The 21344-nt window shown below is 37.1% G+C and overlaps 1 protein-coding gene and 1 long non-coding RNA gene across 5 annotated transcripts in view; one reads left to right on the top strand and one right to left on the bottom strand.

The window, feature by feature from the left end:
* Positions 1-5: 5 nt before the first annotated feature.
* On the top strand, positions 6-17286 carry PRKG1-AS1 (PRKG1 antisense RNA 1). Its single transcript, NR_038277.1, has 6 exons — positions 6-500; positions 649-736; positions 4597-4734; positions 12734-12873; positions 13296-13621; positions 16221-17286. It is a non-coding gene; the product is annotated as a PRKG1 antisense RNA 1 (long non-coding RNA).
* PRKG1 (protein kinase cGMP-dependent 1) overlaps positions 15784-21344 on the bottom strand; it is a 1307463-nt gene continuing 1301902 nt past the window's right edge. For all 4 annotated transcript variants that reach the window (NM_001098512.3, XM_017016413.2, NM_006258.4 and 1 more), the window contains one exon: positions 15784-20332. In NM_001098512.3, coding sequence (NP_001091982.1) covers positions 20234-20332 — 99 coding nt within the window. In that variant the 3' untranslated portion in view covers positions 15784-20233. The remainder of the gene's footprint in view (positions 20333-21344) is intronic.

The following is a 21344-nucleotide window of genomic DNA, read 5'->3' as shown; positions in this document are numbered from 1 at the left end:
GACACTCTTCACCCCGCCCCTCCCTTGCTTAGTCGCTCGGCTGGCCCGGCTCACCTTCGGGGTGAAGGCTACCAGCGAGCGTTATAGCAGACGACTTTAATAAATGCAGGCGGCAGCAGGAACTCTGGGAACTTGGGTGCCCTTGCCTGGCAGTAAGGGTTGAATTATCCGGATCTGAAATACTTTACAGAGCCGAGGGGTGATAGGCTCTGCAAAAGCACTTTTTGCCCCTCTCCTTTATGCCAATACTCGCTGACTGTGCACACAAGTCATATTCAGTATTAAATACAAACCGGTCTGTAATTCAATGGCTCTAGCAAGACGCCTCTGAGAGGGCCAGGTGGCGGGTGCAAGTTGCTCATTAACCCTTTAGAGTCGCAGTTTGCAGATCTGAGTTAGATCCCCGGCTTTGAGGTCCTTCAGTTGCCCTCCTCCCCCACCTCCCCCCGCCACTGCGAGAAAAATGTGCAAAGAGAAGGAAATTTGCACATCAAACGAGGGTAAGAAGGAAGAAGAGCTAATTCTCTTTTGATGGGAAGTTTAGAGAGGGAGGCGAGAGACTGGCGTTTAGAAATTAGATCAGGGGTGGAGGGAAGAGGGAAATGACCATCCGATAATCAAACCATTTAATGTTGTTCTTTGAATCAGGGCAATCGCGGCGGTAGATGAACTTGATTAGGCAGACGCGTGAGATCAAAGTGGCCGGGACCAAAGCGGACAGGGTCCAACGTGCCAGGTCAGTCGCCTTTCCCCGGTTCTCCCTTCTCAGTGGTGGGCTAATGTGGAGAAATAAGAAACCCTTAGGGCTTAGCGCCTGACTTCCTCATTAGTATATCACATCGCAACGCTTCCGAATGCAGGGTTTGCTCCCAAGTCTTACCTTGCACGGGACCACGCAATACCCTTTCTAGGGAGAAAAGAAACAACCTTGAGGAGAAGAAGAGCTGAAAGTGAATTAGAAAGTGAATTTGACGTCATTGAAATTGGTGTGTGGATATAATAAAGTAAGGCTGGTGTATAAGAATGATGTCATGCTTATAAATGGGAAATGATCTATTTAATTCAACAAAAACTTATTGGAAGCCTAGAGCCCTGGCATTGGGCTGCCCTCTGGGTTGTTACCTTATTTTTATTTTTTAAATTTTTTGGTGAGATGGGTGGTGGGGGGAGGGGCACAGTGAATACAAATATTTATGAGACACAGCTCTCATTTTAAATAATAAAGTTCTCTTTATTCTAATTACAGTAATAATAAAAGATGTAGTAACAATAAAATTATAGCAATAAATATAAAAGCATACATAATTCTTTTAAAAACAGGTTGATATTATAAGTGTCAGAAAATAAGCAACTGTTTTGTGAGTTTGGAAAAGGGAGAGATGATTGAATAATCACTATTGAATTAAAAAAGAGTAAGATATATTTATTTTGTCTTCCTCTAAGCTGTATAGATTTAGGCTGTCTATAATGACTCCACATGCTGACCTACTATAGTCAGAACTGGGGCCACCACCAAGTAAAGCCAGTGACAATCTTAAAGTAAAAAAATCCTAAAGTTTACTGGGAGAAGGAGTAATTAAAACACAATTTACTATGGTCTGTGTTCTAGTTCCTTCAGTTTCAAAGGTAATATTAAGAAGATCATCTAAACAATTCTTGAATGGTACCCTAGTTATATTAGTGTCCTTCCCATCCCAAATTCCATCTGTCCAGGAAATTATCCTGTCAGGAATCAATGCGTTAAGCACCTTCAGTGTACTAGGAAATCTGCAAGCTGTGTTAAGTTTGAATGACTTTGAAACGTAGAGAAAAATCCGCCTGCCAATCAGAAGGTTGAAAATGTTTCTTTTTAGTCCTATTAACCTGTTTAAATATTTTGAATCTAGAAATATATTTGTGCCACACTAAAGGCCAATCTCTTGCCTTTTTTTCTGAAGAGATAGTATATGATTAATACATTTAATGAACTTGGTTCATTAAAAGCTTGGCTTCACAAAAAAAATCCATTGCCTGGGGCAAAAGAAGAGAAAGTGGAACAATTTAATCAACAAAAGGAAAATTCTGTTATAACAAAGAAGCTTGTTGCATAAATTCAACCTTGATCTCTGAACACATATCATTTGTCTATTATGTTTCAATATTCACTGAGTCTGGACAGAATCTGTGGTATTGAGCTAGGAGAGCTAAACCAAGCATAGAGTTTCAAGAATGGGCTAGCTTCTACCTCCTTCCTCAGCTTTCACATTGCTCCTGAAGTTGTCATGAGTTTAAAACTAATAATGAGTTGGTCAATATCTGAGTTCCTACTTTGTGCTAAGCATTATACATGATATTGTGTGATAAAAGATGAGTTCACATATAATCTACCTTCAAATCATTTAGTGGGCAGAGGAGAGGTAACCTCACAAATTATTCAGGGGAGAAATTACATGGGTGGTCCTCAGAGAGGGCTAAGTACATAGCAAATCAAACCTTTGTTCCAAATGAGGAAATTTATTTTTTCAGTACTTTTTCTCCATTTGAAAATCCTTTCCAGGATGTGGTTTGTTCATTGGCAACAAGAGTGCAAGGTAGATAAAGAGGTATAGTAAAACTCATTGTTCCATCAGCAGCCAGTTAATATTCGGTGAGTATCCATTATTGGGAGCATATCTCACAATATGAAAGGCAGGCTTCTTGTCCTCAGCTTTCAGTCTGTGACTAGTTGGGGAAATACAACATACTTACATGGGGCTGGGGGTAAAAATTTTTCCAACATCGATTATATTTTGGCAGATACTAGGTCATGGAGAGCAAGAAAAATGTGCAGGAACTGTGACCAACATGTCTTAGGAAGGAGAGAGGGTTCTGGTGATTGTCTGAGTCTCTCTTACAGCTGGGTGACAGAGGAGGTGGGAGCCAGAGTAGATGAATTTAGTTTATTAAACTGAGTTTATTTAGTCCTGTAGGGAACCCTGCCTCCTATTCAGTCTGGTATAAATATGATCATAATTAATGTAACAAATTTAATATTTTGTATTATATTTTTGAATAGGTGAAATATGCTTATCAGCGTGGAATTGAACCTCATAACTCGGGAACAGCATGCTAACACATGTCTTCTTTATATTTTAAGTGCTGGATGCCATGCATAGAATATTTCTCAACCTTTTCATCCATGAGGGAGACAGACAAATATACTCCAAAACACTCCATGCTATTCACCAACTATTTTTCCATCTCTATTATTTGTGACTGCTGATTTTTTTTATTTTATATATTTTTATATATTTTTTGAGACAGGATCTCATTCTGTCGCTCAGGCTGGAGCACAGTGGTGCAATCGTGGTTAACTGCAGCCTTGACCTCCCAGGCTCAAGCGGTTCTTCCACCTCACCCCCAAGTAGCTGGGACTACAGCTGCATGCCACCACACCTGGCTAATTTTTAATTTTTTTGTAGAAACAGGGTCTCACTATGTTGCTAGCCAGAGCTGGTCTTAAACTCTTAGGCTCAAGTGATCCTCCCACCTTGGCCTCCCAAAGTGCTGGGATTACAGGAGTGAGACACCGCGCCCAGTCTACTGCTGTATTTTAAATTCCCTTCTTTCCTCTTTTCTTTTTTCTCTCCCTCCTTCCCTTCTTTCCTTCTTTCTCTTCATTAAATCAAAAGAAGCAGATTTGTTGCCATATAATTTTACTTTGCTAGGAAAATACCGCATACATATCATTCCTTACGGTGGGTGTTGCCAACATTTTTGTTAGTGTCAATCTTGAGTATAGCAGGGATTCCTCATTCCTGATGTTTTGTAAAAAATGATATGACTTTCTCATTGACTTTTAAAACAGTTTGGTCTTAATGTTCTTCATGATGTTAAAAGAACTTTTAGACCTGGTCCATGTTATGACTCCCCTGAGAGCTGGATTTTCTGCACTCCCCAGTACAAACAGAGGGCAAGATTTGACCGTGATTACATTTATTTGGGCGGTGGAGATGGCCAGCCCAGATAAATCAGGCTCCGTGGTAGCTTTCTAACCAAGCTCAGAAGATGTGTTTTACTGGAGTAAGACATTAAAAGCTAATCTGAGAGTAGAGGCTGGGTTCCAGCCTCTAAACCCAGTGAAGATAGTGCCTAACCAGATAGATATCTGCCTGCATCCTTTCTGAGGTCCTGACACTCAGAAAGGTCTGTGGTGGTGGGTATAGGGAGTGCAATGTCCTCTTTGAGTCCCCAAAGGATTTAACATCTCCAACCCTAAGGATAGGCCAGTGTCTGCAGAAAGCAAGATGTAGGATCCCATGACACAGTCTCCGCATCTACAGAAAAACAATTTTCTTCCATGTCACTGGGTTCCTATTATTACCTCCTTTATAAGACAGATCTTCTCCCAGGGTATGGCCAAGAAAGGCATCGTGCCAAGGAGTTAAGAGGCTAGGGATGGTACTCTGTATAGGGTGTCAGCCATAATCTGGCTCCTAAATATGGGAAAGCCATTTAACTCTTGGTGTGGTACTGGCTTTTCTTTATAAAATGGGATGCAGGGGAGATGGAGAGGTTCCTTTTCACTACAAAAGTCTCCCTTTCTTTCTCTCTCTCTTTCTTTTCTTTTTCTTTCAGCACTGCCAAGAGAAGGCCTTTTGTACTCAGGTTAAATAAGAACATCCTGCAAGGAGTCTGTTCTTTTATGCAGCCTAAAGATCAAGTAATAATCATTGACACTGATACTGAGCATGTCGATTTTGAAGAGACTAGCATGTAAGTATTAAGTGCCTGGAAATAAGGTGAATTACTTGGACCAGGCGACTTTTTAAAAAGTGTGTGTGTGTGTGTGTGTATGTGTGTGTGTGTGGAGGTTGTTTTCCCATCACAAAATTGGTTGTAATATTTAAAGCTGATGTTTTCAGCTATCACCAGTTCTCCAACTGGTGAATTGTAAAGGACCTTAAGGTGAAAAGTAGAAAGTAGGACCTTAAAAACACTTTAGTCTTGACACCCAGTCTTAGAAATGCTGAAGAGTGGAAGATGTAGGCTATTAAATAGAACTATTAACTTTTGGCGGGGAAGAGCAGGAGGGATGTATAATTAACTCGTGTAAGGATTCTTCATCACCCTTAAGTTACAAAAGTAAAATAATTTTCAGAGGAGTCTAGGAGTCCGTGGCAGGAGTCACGTCAGGGAACTACCTGGCTGGCCAACCTAGGGGCTCCCAAGCCTGAGTCCTTCCGCAACGGCCCTGCCTCCAGTGCGGGCGCGTTTCCCAGCGCGCAGGCCCCGCGCCCTGCACGGCGCAGCACGGCGAATCCCCCATTATTGTTCACGCGCTCCCAGTGCCGGGTGCTCACGGTGGCTGCACTTGGGTGTCACAACCCGTCGCTAGCATACAGTAGTGTAAAATGAAGCTTGTTTAAAGACTCTCTTTGATGAGCGAAGATCAAACGGCCTGGGGACCCCCGGTCTTAATCAGACTTGAGCCAGGATGGCATTTTCACAAATAGTCCGTTTGCTCGGCTTTGAGCAGACTTTGTGCTCAGCACATTCATCCGGCTGCGGGGCGGGTAATCCCGGCTGAAGCCCCTTGCCTGGTCGCAAATCCATTCACACTACAATGGCTGCTGTTGGTTTGCTGTGTCAGTTCATGGGCAAATAAATACAGGGCCTTTCTGACTTAATTAGAGGCGGGTGAGGGGAAAGGCGACTGAGGGGAAGATTAAAGCTCTGAGGGACATCAGGCTCCGCGGTGTCTCCGGCGTCCGGGGGGAGGTGGGAGAAACCCGCTCTTCTGCTGCCTCCTGGTGGAATTTCCGTAGAAGTTCTTAGTAGGGAAAAGTATGTATTAATCCTGTAGTTATATTTATTTTCTAGGTCCAATTACTTGTGTATTTTCATAACTCCCTATGCTGCAAACTCTCTAAAGCCAAATATATTTTGTCCTTCTTAATATTCCACATAATGTTTTGTTGAAAAATTAAATCTACACATGGTAGAATTAAAATAATAAGGTCTGGTACTGTCACCACCATATACTTAAAAAATAAAAGGGAGCTGGGGTGCGAAACTTAGGTTCTTATTAAATGTTTTAGTTTGGTTGAAGTTCAAAGGCTCTATATTGCATTGCTGGATAAAAATGTCTGGGTCTCCAGATTAGTATGTTAATATATAATGTTATAGGGAAATGCTAGGCTAAACAAATATTAAGAAAGCTCAAACAATGTAACTATTCAGGGAGAATGAAAATATAACAGAATATGCTTTTTTAATTAATTTGGATAATAAAAATATTAATCTCAGATTTACATTTTCAAAAGGAAGATAAAAACATTCAATAGTTTATGCAAAACAATAGTTATAATGTACTATTTAACAGTTTCACTTCATTTGAGTCAACATGATGCACAAGGAGAAAAGGAACAGCAGGAAAATTAATAAAACAACATATTGGAAGTGCAGGTCCTAGCATAGTATATGCAACTGTTAACATATATGTTAATGGCAGTTGTGCATTTTATTGATAGCCAATATTTTAAACTAGACCCAATTTTGTTCTTCTGTCTGATGTTTTTTGAAGAGTTCTGGCAGAAAAAAAAAAGTTCTATTTTTTTTAAAGATTTCTTTTAAAGAAGAAAAGATCATGGAAGATGTGTAAGAAATGCCATCTCTAAACATTCAGTTCAATATGAATTGTGTACTCATTTTGTAGCTATCAGTTAGATGCTAAGTAAAAAATTGTATACTATTATTTTAGGATGATATTCTAAAATATATTTATAATAATGACTTTAAAAAGCACATCGACCTCTATCAAAACCTCTCAAAATGTCATTAGTATATTCATTATACTTGTCTACATTTCCTGATTGTGCTATTTTCTCCATCAGTATCTCCATCTTCTCATAATATTACTGCAATCCAGCTGATTCTGTTTACCACGAGAATCATATTCTTTAAAGTAAGCTCTAAGTTTGAAAAAGAAATGAAAAACATTTTGCAGATACCAACAGCTTTGTGAATTCAGCAGAGCCACAAGCTTACTTAGAAGCTATGGAAGCACTGAGGCAGAGTAGAGTGGTGAATTAGCTTTCTATTAGGGGCATATTCTTCTACGCCTTCCTGCTAATACCATTTACTAGTATCATTTACACTAAGAATTTTAGAAGGGAACTGTGGCTAGAGCTGTGAAGTCTAAAGGTTTAAAATGCATGTTTTCTTTGTATTTAGAGTTCCTGATTTGCAGGCAAAGTCCTAAACTTGTTTGAAAAATTACTTTGCTAGGGTTTAATTCACAGCTGAGATTAGAAAAATAAGTAAGTAAATAAGTGGAACTTTTTTTTTTTGGAACTTTCTTACAAGTATGTAAAGAATAGGAGAGAAACAGATTTTTTTTCCTGTTTTTATAGGCACTGAAAGGCAAATATTAGTCAATTAAAGGTGCTTTTCTTTTCCTTAAAAAAGATCTATCGAGGCCAGGCATGGTGGCTCATGCCGATAATCACACTTTGGGAGGCTGAATCAGGAGGATTGCATGGGCGGGCCCAGGAGTTCACAACCAGCCTAGGCAACACAGTGAGACCCCATCTCTACTAAAAATAAAAAATTAGCCGGATGTGATGGCACATACCTGTAATCTGTAGTCTCAGCTACTTGCAAGGCTGAGGTGGGAGGATTGCTTGAGCCCAGGAGGTGAAGGCTGCAGTGAGCCTTGTTTGCACCACTGCATTCCAGCCTGAGTGAGAGAGTGAGATCCAATCTCTTAAAAAAAAAAAAAAAATCTAGGCCGGGTGTGGTGGCTCACGCCTGTAATCCCAGCACTTTGGGAGGCTGAGGTGGGTGGATCACCTGAGGTCAGGAGTTCAAGACCAGCCTGGCCAACATGGTGAAACCCCGTCTCTACTAAAAATACAAAAAAATTAGCTGGGCATGGTGGCTCATGCCTGTAATCCTAGCTACTCAGAAGGCTGAGGCAGGAGAATTGTTTGAACCTGGGAGGCAGAGGTTGCAGTGAGCCAAGACCACACCATTGCACTCCAGCCTGGGCAACAAGAACCAAATTCCAATCTCAAAAAAAAAAAAAAAATCTATTAAGAACTCTGCGGGTCCAAGAGCTCTGATGTGCAAGGGTAGGAGAAGATGGAGTCCCTGATCAAGAAGAGAGAGATTTTTCCCTTCCTTCTTCTTTTTTGTTCAGGCCCCCAGTGGACTGGATGATGCCTGCTCATATTGGAGAGGACAAGCCTTCTTTACTCAATCTAATAATTCAAGTGCAAATCTTTTCTGGAAACACCCTTAGAGACACAACCAAGAATACTGTTTTACCAGTGATGTGGGTATCCCTGAACCCAATCAAGTTAACATATAAAATTAATCATCAAAGACAATTTCAAGTGAAAACTGTGACTCCACTGACCATGGAAATGAGAAGATGTGCTCACAATTATACAGTGCTTTCACCATATAGGTACAATTTTTTTTTTTTTTTTTTTTTACCAGAGTCTTGCTCTGTTGCCCAGGCTGCTGTGTAGTGGTGCAACCATAGCTTACTTCAACCTCAAACTCTTGGACTCAAGTGATCCACCTGCCCCAGCCTCACAAAGAACTGGGATTATAAGCATAGCTAGAACTACAGATGCACGCCACCAGGCCCAGATAATTAAAAATGATTTTTTAAATAGAGACAGCATCTCACTATGTTGCCTAAGCTGGCCTTGAACTCCTAGCCTCAAGAGATCCTCCAGTCTCAGCCTCCCAAAACACTGGGATTACAGGTATGAGACACTGCACTGAGCCCCATACAGATACAATTGATATAAATAATTTCAAGAGGATATGCAATAGTACAATGAAGTAATATATTTAGGTAGTAATAAGTTTTGAGTATATATTTTGAGTATATATTTTATATAATTTTTGTAACATTTATATACTATTATTTTAATGTACTTTAGTTGTAAGTTTATGCCATTTAATTTTTAAAAATTGTAGTCCTTGAATATTGACTTTTATATATATATCCCTTGTCCCAGGTGGCTATTAAACCAAAGCTCTACTTCAACAGACTCGAGAAATGTTCTCAGAGCAAATAAAGTTTCAGTGGCCCACTTTCATGGTTCCCGTGTTCCCTTAGATTTTGACTTGGCTTTTTCTTAGTATGTTGCCAACTTTTTGAGATTTTTAAGAGAGAGAGAGGGATGTAACATACACACCCACAGATACATATACATATACATATACATATACATATACATATACATATGTAGTAGCGTTTTAAATTTTCAGTAAGAGAGTTGATTCAAATAACTGAATCTGCCATTTCCCCCAAAATAAAAGTTTCTCACCTAAAAAATTATATAAATGTTGTCACACTGTATTATGCAATTTTTTCATTTAGCGCTGTTTCTGAAATTTAGCCATGTTAAATTTAACTAATGCATTTATATTCACTTTCATATAATATTCTATTGTTTGAATACACCAGATTTAATGGTCTATTATCCAGGTGATGGGCAGTTTGACTTCTAAATTTTTTACTATTTCAAAATTCTTCTGAAGATATGCTGAGATATATATATATATATATATATATATATATATATATATATATCTCCTAGTGAATGTGTATGAACTTTTTTTCTAGGAAATATACCAATGAAGAGAAGTGTTCAGTTATAGGATACAGACATTTTCAACTTTGTTAAATATTGGAAAATTATTCTTCCAATTTGTAAAAATTCCCATTTGTACCAGCAGATATGAAAATTTTACATTGCTCTACATTCTAACCAACATGTTGCTACTTTTAAACTTTAATTTGCAAATCTCATGAATAAAAATGGTTTATTTTAATTTTTAAATTTACAGTTCCTGGTAATGAAGTGGAGTATATATCCATATATTTCTGTTTTCTGGATGAGAAGACTAACCTAACTAAGTAGGTTAGTATAACCTTTATACACAAACAGATGAGGATAATTCAAGAAAGGGGACTTTTAGGCTACTCTCTTGAGATCATAGACAGAAAAGTCTAAAATATAATATTGGAGGCCAAGGTGGGAGGATCATTCAAAGCCAGGAGCTTGAGACCAGACTGTGAAATATAGCAAGACCCAATTTCTATAAAAAATAAACAACCTAGCTGTGTGTGATATGTGTCTATAGTCCCAGCTACTCAAAAGGCTGAGGCGACCTCGAGGATCACTTGAGCCCAGGAGTTTGAGGCTGCAGTAAGCTAGGATTGCACCACTGCACTCCAGCCTGTGTGACAGAGAGACCCTGTCTCTAAAATACATAAATAAATAAAATATAACATTGGTAAATCAAAAACACCAATATATTCAAAATGCATGTAATGACAAAGTTGAATTCATGCCAAGGAAGCATGGGTGGCTTAACATTAGATGTGTTATACATCTTCCACCAAGTCGACCACAATAAAAGGATTAAGAAAGTAACATGCCCATCTTAATGTATGCTGAAACAGAATTTTGATTTTTTAAAAAGATTGACCAACTAAGAACTCTCTTAATATGATCGTGTGTATGTGTATAAAACCTGTATCAAACATCTAATGATGAAATTTAAAATCAGAAAAGAGACAAGGATGCCAACTGTAATTTTATTATTATACATTTACGTGGAGTCCTAGCCAGCCCATTACTTCAAGAAAAAGATTACTGATTGGAACTATAAAGAGTTAAATACAACATTTCGTTATTCAGAGATGACAATATTATCTTTATAAATAACCAAAAAATAGACATAGACATTAATCAGTAAAATTTCAGCAAGGATGGTGGACATAAGAGCACTATGCAAGAAATTGGCAGGGCACAGTGGCTCACGCCTGCAATTCCAGCACTTTAGGAGGCTGAGGTGGATGGATCACTTGAGCTCAGGAGTTTAAGACCAGCCTGGCCAACATGGTGAAACCCTGTCTCTACTAAAAATACAAAAATTTGCCAGGCATGGTGGTGCACACCTGTAAGTCCCAGCTACTTGGGAGGCTGAGGCAGGAGGATTGCTTGAACCCAGGAGACGGAGGTTGCAGTGAGGCGAGATAGCACTGCTGCACTCCAGCCTGGGCAACAGAGTGAGACTGTTCAAAAAAAACGAAGAAATCAATTGAATTTCTCTGTGCCACTATTTTATAATATTCGAGAGTATAATATGTTAAAATGTTATTTTAATAGCAACCAAATATGTAAATGAATTGTATTAAAAATGCTTTTGAAGACATTCTATAAACTGTAAATAATGCTCACGAGTGGAAAAAGTTAAAATCATAAGGTTGTCATTTCTCCCATTAATCTATGAACTAAAAATAATTCTAATCAAAATCCTAAAAGGTGTTTTCATGAAACATGACCATATGGTTTTAATATTTATGTAGAATAAAAGGACTCTAGTGTGCCAAAACAATTTTAAAGACAAAAAGCTAGGGGGATGGAGGGACGGAGGGCAGTGGGGGTACCCCATAAGATATAAATAATATTTATACACCATGTTAACTGAGCCAGTTTGATAGTACTGCATAGAGTGGCAAATATACCAATGGAATATTAAATACACATTAAATTATATTTCTATATATACATGTGTACATATGTGTATATATGCATGTGTACATATGTGTATATATGCATGTGTACATATGTGTATATAGGCATGTGTACATATGTGCATATAGGCATGTGTACATATGTGCATATAGGCATGTGTACATATGTGCATATACACATGTGTACATGTGTGTATATGTGCATGTGTACATGTGTGTATATACATGTGTATACATATGTGTGTATATACATGTGTATACATATGTGTGTATATACATGTGTATACATATGTGTGTATATACATGTGTATACATATGTGTGTATATACATGTGTATACATATGTGTGTGTATACATGTGTATACATATGTGTGTATATACATGTGTATACATGTATGTGTATATATACATGTGTATACATATATGTGTATATATACATGTGTATACATATATATGTGTATATACATATATACGATATGCACACATATATATACATAAATACATATGGGTGGTTTAACATTAGAATATGTTAAACTGATATGTAAAACAAATAATATTGTAACCTTTCTGGCTGAATCAGAATTAGAAATCTGGAGCCTGTGGAGCTTACTCCCTGCATGTCCCCTTTTGTTAATCCAGGTACTCCTCTCCCTATTCCATCCCGGTAGACTCTGAGACATTACTTCAATGTTCTGAAGCTCTATGGAGAACTGAACTTGAAAATCATCAGCTCATTGCAAGCCTTTCCTTTGTGATCAGAGATTGGCAACCTTTTCTGGAAAGGCCCAGATAGTAAATATTTTAGGCTTTACCTGCCATGCAGCCTCTAGCTTACTACTCAAGTGTTGTTGTAACATGAAAGCAGCTTCAGACAATATGTTTGTTCCAATAAAACTTTATTTACAAAAACAGGCTGTGAGACAAATTTAGATGGTGCATCACAGTTTGCCAGCCCTGGCAGGGAGGTTGTAAGTGAAGGAACTTAAAAGCAGAGAGTTTTATTACCAAAAATAACTCTAATAATCTTCTTATGGGTCAGGAAACCAAGGCCCTAAGTAATTCACTTCCATTTACATAGTAATTTGTGGCACATGTAATTAGCAAAGGGTTACACAGAAGACATTTAGAATTATGGTTAAGATGGTATGTTGTTCCTATTCCAACTTGCTTTTATTGTAAAATCTCTCCACTCTCACTTCTTTCCAGGAACCTTGAAGAATCATGTTCTTCCTAGGAATTACAAATCCCCCGATTCCATGTCTAACATAATTTCTACTGGCCTCTTTGCTTCTCATGCTTTAGTACCAGTGCTTCTGAATTTGAAAGTCTTCATGCAAATTGCCCAGGTAAATCATTGCACCAACCTTAGATGGTCTGGACTCTTAAAATGTTTCCTTCCATTACTCTCTTAAAATGTATCTTTGCTATGTCAAGTTTGAGGTAGTTTCTGCCAGAAGATTGGGCATTTGGGTGAATTCAAGTCTTCACTGCAGTTTTTACTGCCTGTGACTCAGGGTCTAAAGATTTATTCTGTTATTTTCTGCCTGTTATTTTCTACAGTGATAAATCACCTTGCAGAGGCTAGGGCAGGCCTCACCTTTCTTTTGAATGTGACAGTTGTATCAGTCGGAATGGGCGAAATCCTGTTGAAATAGACAAAGCCAAAATCTTAGTGGTTCAAAACAACAATATATTCCACTGTAAAGCCTTTGGGAGTTGGTGAGGGGCTCCACTCCTTCTCATCACTGTCCTTACTCTGCTTCTGAAGCTGACAGGGCAGCCACTGTTGAGGAAATGCTGATCACAACATCACAGGTAAAGGAGAATGTAATGAAGCAAGAACTGGCTCTTAAAGCTTCTGTTTGCAGCAGTGACAAGGCTCACCTTTCAACCGCCAAAGCAAGTCAAAAAGCCAAACCTGACTTACATGGCACAGAAAAGTGCCCCAGGGAGGGAAATCAGACATTGATGAACTGTGGCCAAAATCCAGCTGAGCCAGCGCTCAGGTCACCAGTATCATTTCTCCCCAGAGGACTAAGAGTCCTCCTGCAAATTAACTCCTAGTATCCTGCACTGATGTACCAGATACCAGAGGTGGGTATACATATACATTTTTGGCTTTGCAAATCAAGACATGGGTCTATTCCTTAACAAAAAGTAGCTTATTATTCATAGCCCATTTTAATATGTTAATTGAAAGAACACTTCTATGGGTGGAATATAAATGCCATTTAACATTTCTGAGAGCATTTATAGGCTTTGGATGTCCATGATTCTTTACAGAGTTATTTTTTTCTGTTTACCTCATTTACCCCACCATTCCTGAAATGTTTCTCCATGGATCCTTTTCTCCTGCTTCTACCTCATAGAGATGTATCAAAATACACTAATGGGCTGGTTAAAAATTCAGATTCCTGGGTTATACCTCAAAATAACTTTGGATTATCCTAGAAACCTATGTTTTTATATTATTTCCCAGATACATCTTATGACAGTAATGTTTGAAAAACACTGGCTTAGATCCTATGTCTAGAGCTTGTCCATGAATTTTTATAAAATCTGTGGCCAGACTTTTGGGTTGTTAGAGATACCTTGTTTTCCTTTTTTTTTTTCTTTCTATAATTTTTTTTTGCACAAGTTTGAGGCTTAACCTGTTTGGCTTTGCTAATGGGCATGTAGGTAGATAGATAGATTTGTCTTTTGTTCCATAGACTCACCTTGGATAAAAAACAGCTGCCAGAGATAAATATTACTGTTTTATCAATTTATAGGACTTTTTGAGTTAGAAAGGAGAAGTCTGGGGACACAGAAGAAAGCTCTCAATATGACTCTCAATAAAAAAAAAAAAAGTTAGTGTGAAATTAACTGGGCATGGTGATGTGCACCTGTAGTCATAGATACTTGGTAGGTCAAGGCAGGAGGGTCCCTTGAGCCCACAAAGTCAAGGCTGCAGTTAGCTGAGATTGTGCCATTGCATTCCAGCCTGGGTGACAGAGTGAGGCCCTGTCTCAAACACAACCCACCCACACAAAAGAAACATTAATGTGGTGGCCTGTATTATGAGCATGACACACAGGGCTATAACTAAGAATCTAAAGGTAGGTCTGCAGGCGTAACATTGTAATATTTACACTTGGGTATCATTTGGATGATCACACAATCAATCCATTTCTTTCAAATTTAGAATTGATTCCTATTGTCATTCTTGAAAAATTGCACACTGATTTATTCCCACTGAAATTAGTATGCACAAGATGTGAGTGATGTAGATGCAACATCATCACCATCACTGACGTCTCCTCCTCCCTATCCTTCTAATGATTGTGTTGATCTGCGTGCTCCTCCCAAAACTGTGCAATTAGTACAAAAACAAAACCCTTTCATGATCAAGAAGAACACTCTTAGATTAAGGGTATGAAAAATCATATAACTTAAAGGATGGATGTTAAAAGCTTATATTACAGTTCTATTTGCAGAAGAAATGAAATTACTGGATGTGCAATCGTGACATAGTATTTTTTCAAGTGGTTTTATTGACTTTATCTGAAAAAGTTAACTGAATTTCTAGTTTTCATCAAACAAGGGTTTTCAACTCACTGTCACTGGCAATGTGAGGTCAAAAAGACAAAAACAATGTAATTGAGAGAATCTTCATGCTGCAGCCAGTTTTCATGTGTGCATCATTTACTGCAGAGAAGGACAAAGGGATGTAGAAAGAATATGTTTAACTAGGCTTTGGAGAGTTGAATTTGTTGTAATCATATTGTTCCCCAAATGTTTCTTCTTTGTGCATATGATGAAGCCAAGGAATCAGGTGAAAAATCCTTGGACAAAGACTCATGAAGTTGCTTTTCATATGAAATCATTTCCTCCTAGGATGTAGTAATATACAAGAATTGTCCCTTTGATTGTTTTGCCTAGTACAGAGTTTGACTAGGGATAGCCCAAAAAAGGACTGTGTGGTGGTCATGCTCAGAAATCTGCTAATTTCTGAGTTTGTGTGAATATCTATATTCACTTTGCTTTTCACACTGGATGGCCCAACATTATTCCTATGAATTCTTTAAAACCAATTTGTTGGATTAGTTTTATATTAGATTATAATATAGTATATTATTTCATGAGGGATGCTTGGATTATAGGTATTTCCTACTTTGTTATAGTGACATTCTACAACAGCACTACCTGGTATTTCATCTAGTATGATATACCAATTCTATTCTTGGAATCTTGTCTGGAATTAAACATCAACTAAGTTCAAAAGTAATTATTTTTTTATTTCAACTCTATAAAGTATACAACAGGCACTCAGCAATTACAGCTGCAGGAAAAATACAGAGCAAATCAAAGCAGGTAAATTTATGAAAAAGTTTTTAATCTACATCAAAAGAGTGCAAGTGGTCAATGACCATTTGATGACAGTTTGTTGCATTCTGACTAACAAAGAACTCTTTCATGTAGAACAAATTGTAAGAGGACAATCAAATAACCATAGCTGTAAGAATACAAAAGAACTGACCAGTTGTAAAAACATCATACATTGAAATAAATTTGATAGATGATGCTTAAAGAAATGTCCCTTTACTCAGAAAGCCCCAACCTCTGAGTCATTGCCAAGGTCCCAGAGCTCTGTCTGTTGATTCAGGGGCAGAGAGGAGGGCTAACAACACACTTTCAATGTTTTGCTTTCTAGGTCTGTTGAAAACTTGCCTCGTAAATGATTTGCATATACAAGAACTCGGAAAAAGCATCCTGTTTTGTTGAGAGGTGCACCAAGTGACTTTTTCATCATTGGTTTCATAACGAGGTCTGGTTAGCAGTCATTTCCAATTTTTCTTTTCGGTTGGACCATTGTCAATGGAGTCTATAAAATGAGATATGTTAGAACTTGACTGCACTAATTTATTTTTACAGAATCTGCACAGCTTAGCAAAACAGGAATACCTGTATACAGACTGATAGAATGTCATATATTAATTTGACCTGCACATACATTTATACATTTCACAGAAATGACGCTGTATCTCATTAACAGATACACAGCTCTGGTACATTTAACAGAAATAAGAGAACAACTTCATCATTTCTGTAATTCATCAATATTATATAATAAAGGCTTATAAATTGTTAGCAGAAAGAACTGTAAAACGCAGCAAGCTAAGAAAGGACAACATTTTGAGGTGTGTTTGTCTTTGTCATGCAGCATAACACCAAATTTGTTTTTTTAATAGGATGCCATGAATTTAAGGCACTTGCAACAATGCCAGATAGCCAGGTCATGTTCTAAACTATGGGACAGATGAATAACAGTACAGTTGACATAATTTTCAATAATACTGACAATTATGACATTAATTCAAGTCTACTTGGACCTAAAAACATTATTCAATACAAATAAAATGAAATAATAATGCTGTGAAACACTAAAAAAAGTTATATGTACCACAAAATATCACACAAAAATACCTATTTACATAAATATTTGTCTGTGGTCCTATAGTGAAAGAAAACGTTGTTATGGATAATGCACAGATCACCTCTATTGTATGAAATCAGTTCTAATATCCTTATTTTCAACATGGTAGCTGACTTCATTAAATTTGTTTACCATCAGTTCAGTCATTTAGAAATGAAACAGGAAAAATTCAATAGTTGAGTTTATTACTACACATGTGTAATTCACATGCATATTCCACAATTTTAGGTAAAAATTATGACTTGTAAAGAATATAACCAAAATAAATTTGTTTTGAATGCCACATGGATCTGATTCATGTCTTAATAAGAAAGAAGATATAAACATAAAAAGCATGTATAGCGTTTTTCCAGAAATTATTTTTTCAAATGTATTCAATCTATCCCAGTTGTTTTAATGTTGCTTCCCTTGGCAGTTTCAGTTTTCCTGTGAGTCAAGACACACAGAAAGCCCTTATTTCCCATACTCAACACATTAACAAGAAAATCATATAACAAATCAAACAAGTTGGCACTATTCTAACTTATCCAGATGTTCTTTAATGTAAGAAAATAGAGGGGTTGTGAAAAATTCAGAAATAAAGTGAGATGCATTTTATGGAACTGACCATGAATTTTAGCCCTAGAGTCTTCATTAAGACAAGATTTAAATCCTAAAAATTCAATGTTGACAAAATTAGACGAATGTTTTCTGTTGGTACATCTTGGAAGATGTAGTTTACCTTTATTTTGTGGTAATTACTTCAGACATCAAATGCAATGCTATGGGTGAAATGAACAAAGATGCAGTAACAAGTGGGAGAAACAATCTACAGTTTCTTGTGCTGAATGCTACTTCTTCCTTCTCCATTGAACTTATTCATATTGGTTGTCTTAGACTTGAACCATAGTTCCAAAATCCATAGCAAGTGCTAATCTCTGGGACTTTGGGGATTTTTAAAACGTTATAGGAGCAGATTCTCTTTCCAAATAACAAGGTAAATTTAGTATTCTAGCAAGCCTTTCTTTAGCAAGCCTAAACCACATTATCTTTCAACAAAAGTTACTGAACATTCACTATAATATTGGAATTACATATTTTTAAAAAGCCAATTAAAAATATAAAACTCTTGAAATAACATTCATAGCTAGATTTTAGGTTGATATGTTTAATTTTATATTCTAAAATCTGTAGAAAACAGTGGATATCTTGGGGAATAGACCAATTTGGAGAAATTGTAAGGGACGGAAAACTCCAAAAATACAAGAATAACAATATTTTAGGATTAAAGTTCTAATTGAAGTTTATACCCTTTTCATTTTATCCTCCAAAATTTTAAGAATATTATATTTTCATAAGATACCATATTCTAAGGTAGTTTTGAGTAAGAACAATTCAAGCAAAATTTATAAGATTTGCCTTCTTAGTTAAGGTGTAATGATCTAATTGGACTTTTTCTTCCAGAAATGTAGGCGTTTGATTGATTAAAAAGAAAACTCTACTGAAAAAAAAAGCAAGCGTCAATTTAATATACCAAATTCACACAGGGCCAAAACAGAATGACAGCTTGAAAGCTTCTATATTTTTCTTCACAGGTATAATGTAATTTTGTCCAGGAAATGCTTCCAAATGGCTGAGTTACTTATGACAGCTAATAATAGTCAACTGGCATGCCAGTGAAGGACTCAGTTTAATTTGTGGATTCTTTTCTCCATGTGAATAAAGTAAATCAGCTTGACATTTTCAAATCTAGTCTTTTTTAGGTAGTATGAAATTGCAGAATTGTAGTAATTCTATTTTATTTAAAATTTATTTTAAAAAAATCAGGTTCCTGTTTTCCTCTGTACTGCTTTCTTAGTTAGACAAGTATATGGACTCAGCTTATTCACTAAAAGGTAATCAACACCTGGCCAGGTTCTTGTTTTGTTCTCTGACCTCAAATAAGTAATGTTCCAGATCTGGTAAACCTGTAAATATTAACAACTTTGACTTTGGGCTTTCTTTCTTTGTCTTTTCTACTTCTTTTATTTCTGTTTTTCATTCTTGTTTTTTGTTTGTTTGTTGTTTTTTGGTTCAGGCCTAAGACAAGAAGCTAGTTCAAATAGGTTTATAATTACCTTTGTCTCTCAACTCTAGACTGACTATGTTGTATAAGTGAAATTGGACAGGAGTTTGGTTTAATAACTTTAGTGAAAATGCTTGAGTTTCTGGCTACACGTATAATGATTTGAATTTGTGTTGTCTGTTCAGACACTGACATTTACAGATGAAAGATATACATAGCACCTATATAGTTTTTATTTATTTTTTGGATGGGTTTTAATCCCTCCCCACTCCACCCTACCCCAAGCATTTATTTTTATAAAAGGGAATACTTTAAGCCTCAGTTTGAGGGTATGTTAAGTAAAACCAATTGGCTGCTAGTCATTTACTTCCAGGACCATCTTTAAGCACAATATTTTAAAAAATATGAAATGGTTTTGTGAATTGCTTTTTTTCCCCACTCTGTCATGCCAATTTATCAAAAAAAACAAACAAATATCATGCATTATTTTTCAGTCTTCTGTGAAAACTCATATATACCTACTATGAGAGGTCTCAGCAGAATCTATAGCAGTTGTGCTTTTATCATATCAATTTTTAAAATCTGTCAGAAAGAAAAGGTAACATTCAGTCTTGTCATCAGCACTGCTGGGAAATAAAATCATGAAACTTCTAGCACTGGTGTGACATGAACTCTGTGACCAACAGATGTGTGGTCCTCTTTTGTATGGTATATACACCGGCCTGCAGTAATAGATCCCACAGCCTTCACTTGAAGAAAGGGAATAGCCCAGTTTCTGTACCATAGTAATCTATTGTACCCAATATATTATTCTTTCATCTTCTTGAATATTCCAGCAAGGTACAGACTCTTATACTACATTGAAGTGTTTCCTACAGTCTTTCAAATTATAATCAGAGCAAAGCAAGGTCATTGCAACAATAGAAAACATCTTTTACTGGTGAAAGGCTTTGCTTCAGGACCACCATGTCAACTGCTATTTTAGGTTCAAACAGAAAACATGTAAAGAGCACTATTGTCATCTAAGCGGTAAGTCCTAATGCCACTGTAGTTACTGGAGCAGCATCGATCAAAGGCATCATGGTGACCCCGAGCACTAATCTTCTCTCTTTCCCTCAGGTTTGCTGGCAGCTGTGTCTCAGAAAAAGCTGTCTTCAGCAAGGCAGAAGCAGGTAAGAGAAATACATTAGAAGTCTATATCCCATCCTGAGTTGTCATCAGGTGGTGGTTCATCGTTGTCCTCAGGGAAACTGTCAAAATTACTTGTGTCTGTGGGTGATGCAACCTGTAAAAAATGGACAGGTTTTTTTTAGTGGATTTTTTTTAGTGGAATTCCAAGCTGGAATTTTTAAGTGCATTCTGTATTTATTCCCTATTAGTGACTATTTCATTGAGTATCTACTATGTAGCAGGTATTGAGGGTCACAGTGGTAAGTACAAGCAGACATGGTTCTTATCCTTGGAGAGTTTATACCCTTGTGAGTAATAAACTGTATGATTAAAACAAATAATCACTAAAATCTTTCTATATAATAAACTTTGGCTAGAGCTATGGAAACAAAGATGCCATGAAAGTATAAGAGTGATCATGTAGCGTGATGCCTCCAGCTTTGTTCTTTGGCTCAGGATTGACTTGGCGATGCAGGCTCTTTTTTGGTTCCATATGAACTTTAAAGTAGTTTTTTCCAATTCTGTGAAGAAAGTCATTGGTAGCTTGATGGGGATGGCATTGAATCTATAAATTACCTTGGGCAGTATGGCCATTTTCACGATATTGATTCTTCCTACCCATGAGCATGGAATGTTCTTCCATTTGTTTGTTTCCTCTTTTATTTCATTGAGCAGTGGGTTGTAGTTCTCCTTGAAGAGGTCCTTCACATCCCTTGGAAGTTGGATTCCTAGGTATTTTATTCTCTTTGAAGCAATTGTGAATGGGAGTTCACTCATGATTTGGCTCTCTGTTTGTCTGTTATTGGTGTATAAGAATGCTTGTGATTTTTGTACATTGATTTTGTATCCTGAGACTTTGCTGAAGTTGCTTATCAGCTTAAGGAGATTTTGGGCTGAGACAATGGGGTTTTCTGTATATATAATCATGTCATCTGCAAACAGGGACAATTTGACTTCCTCTTTTCCTAATTGAATACCCTTTATTTACTTCTCCTGCCTAATTGCCCTGACCAGAACTTCCAACACTATGTTGAATAGGAGTGGTGAGAGAGGGCATCCCTGTCTTGTGCCAGTTTTCAAAGGGAATGCTTCCAGTTTTTGCCCATTCAGTATGATATTGGCTGTGG

The sequence above is a fragment of the Homo sapiens genome, chromosome 10, assembly GCF_000001405.40.
Source record: "Homo sapiens chromosome 10, GRCh38.p14 Primary Assembly".
NCBI lineage: Eukaryota > Metazoa > Chordata > Mammalia > Primates > Hominidae > Homo > Homo sapiens.
This window is presented reverse-complemented; position numbering and strand designations above follow the sequence as displayed.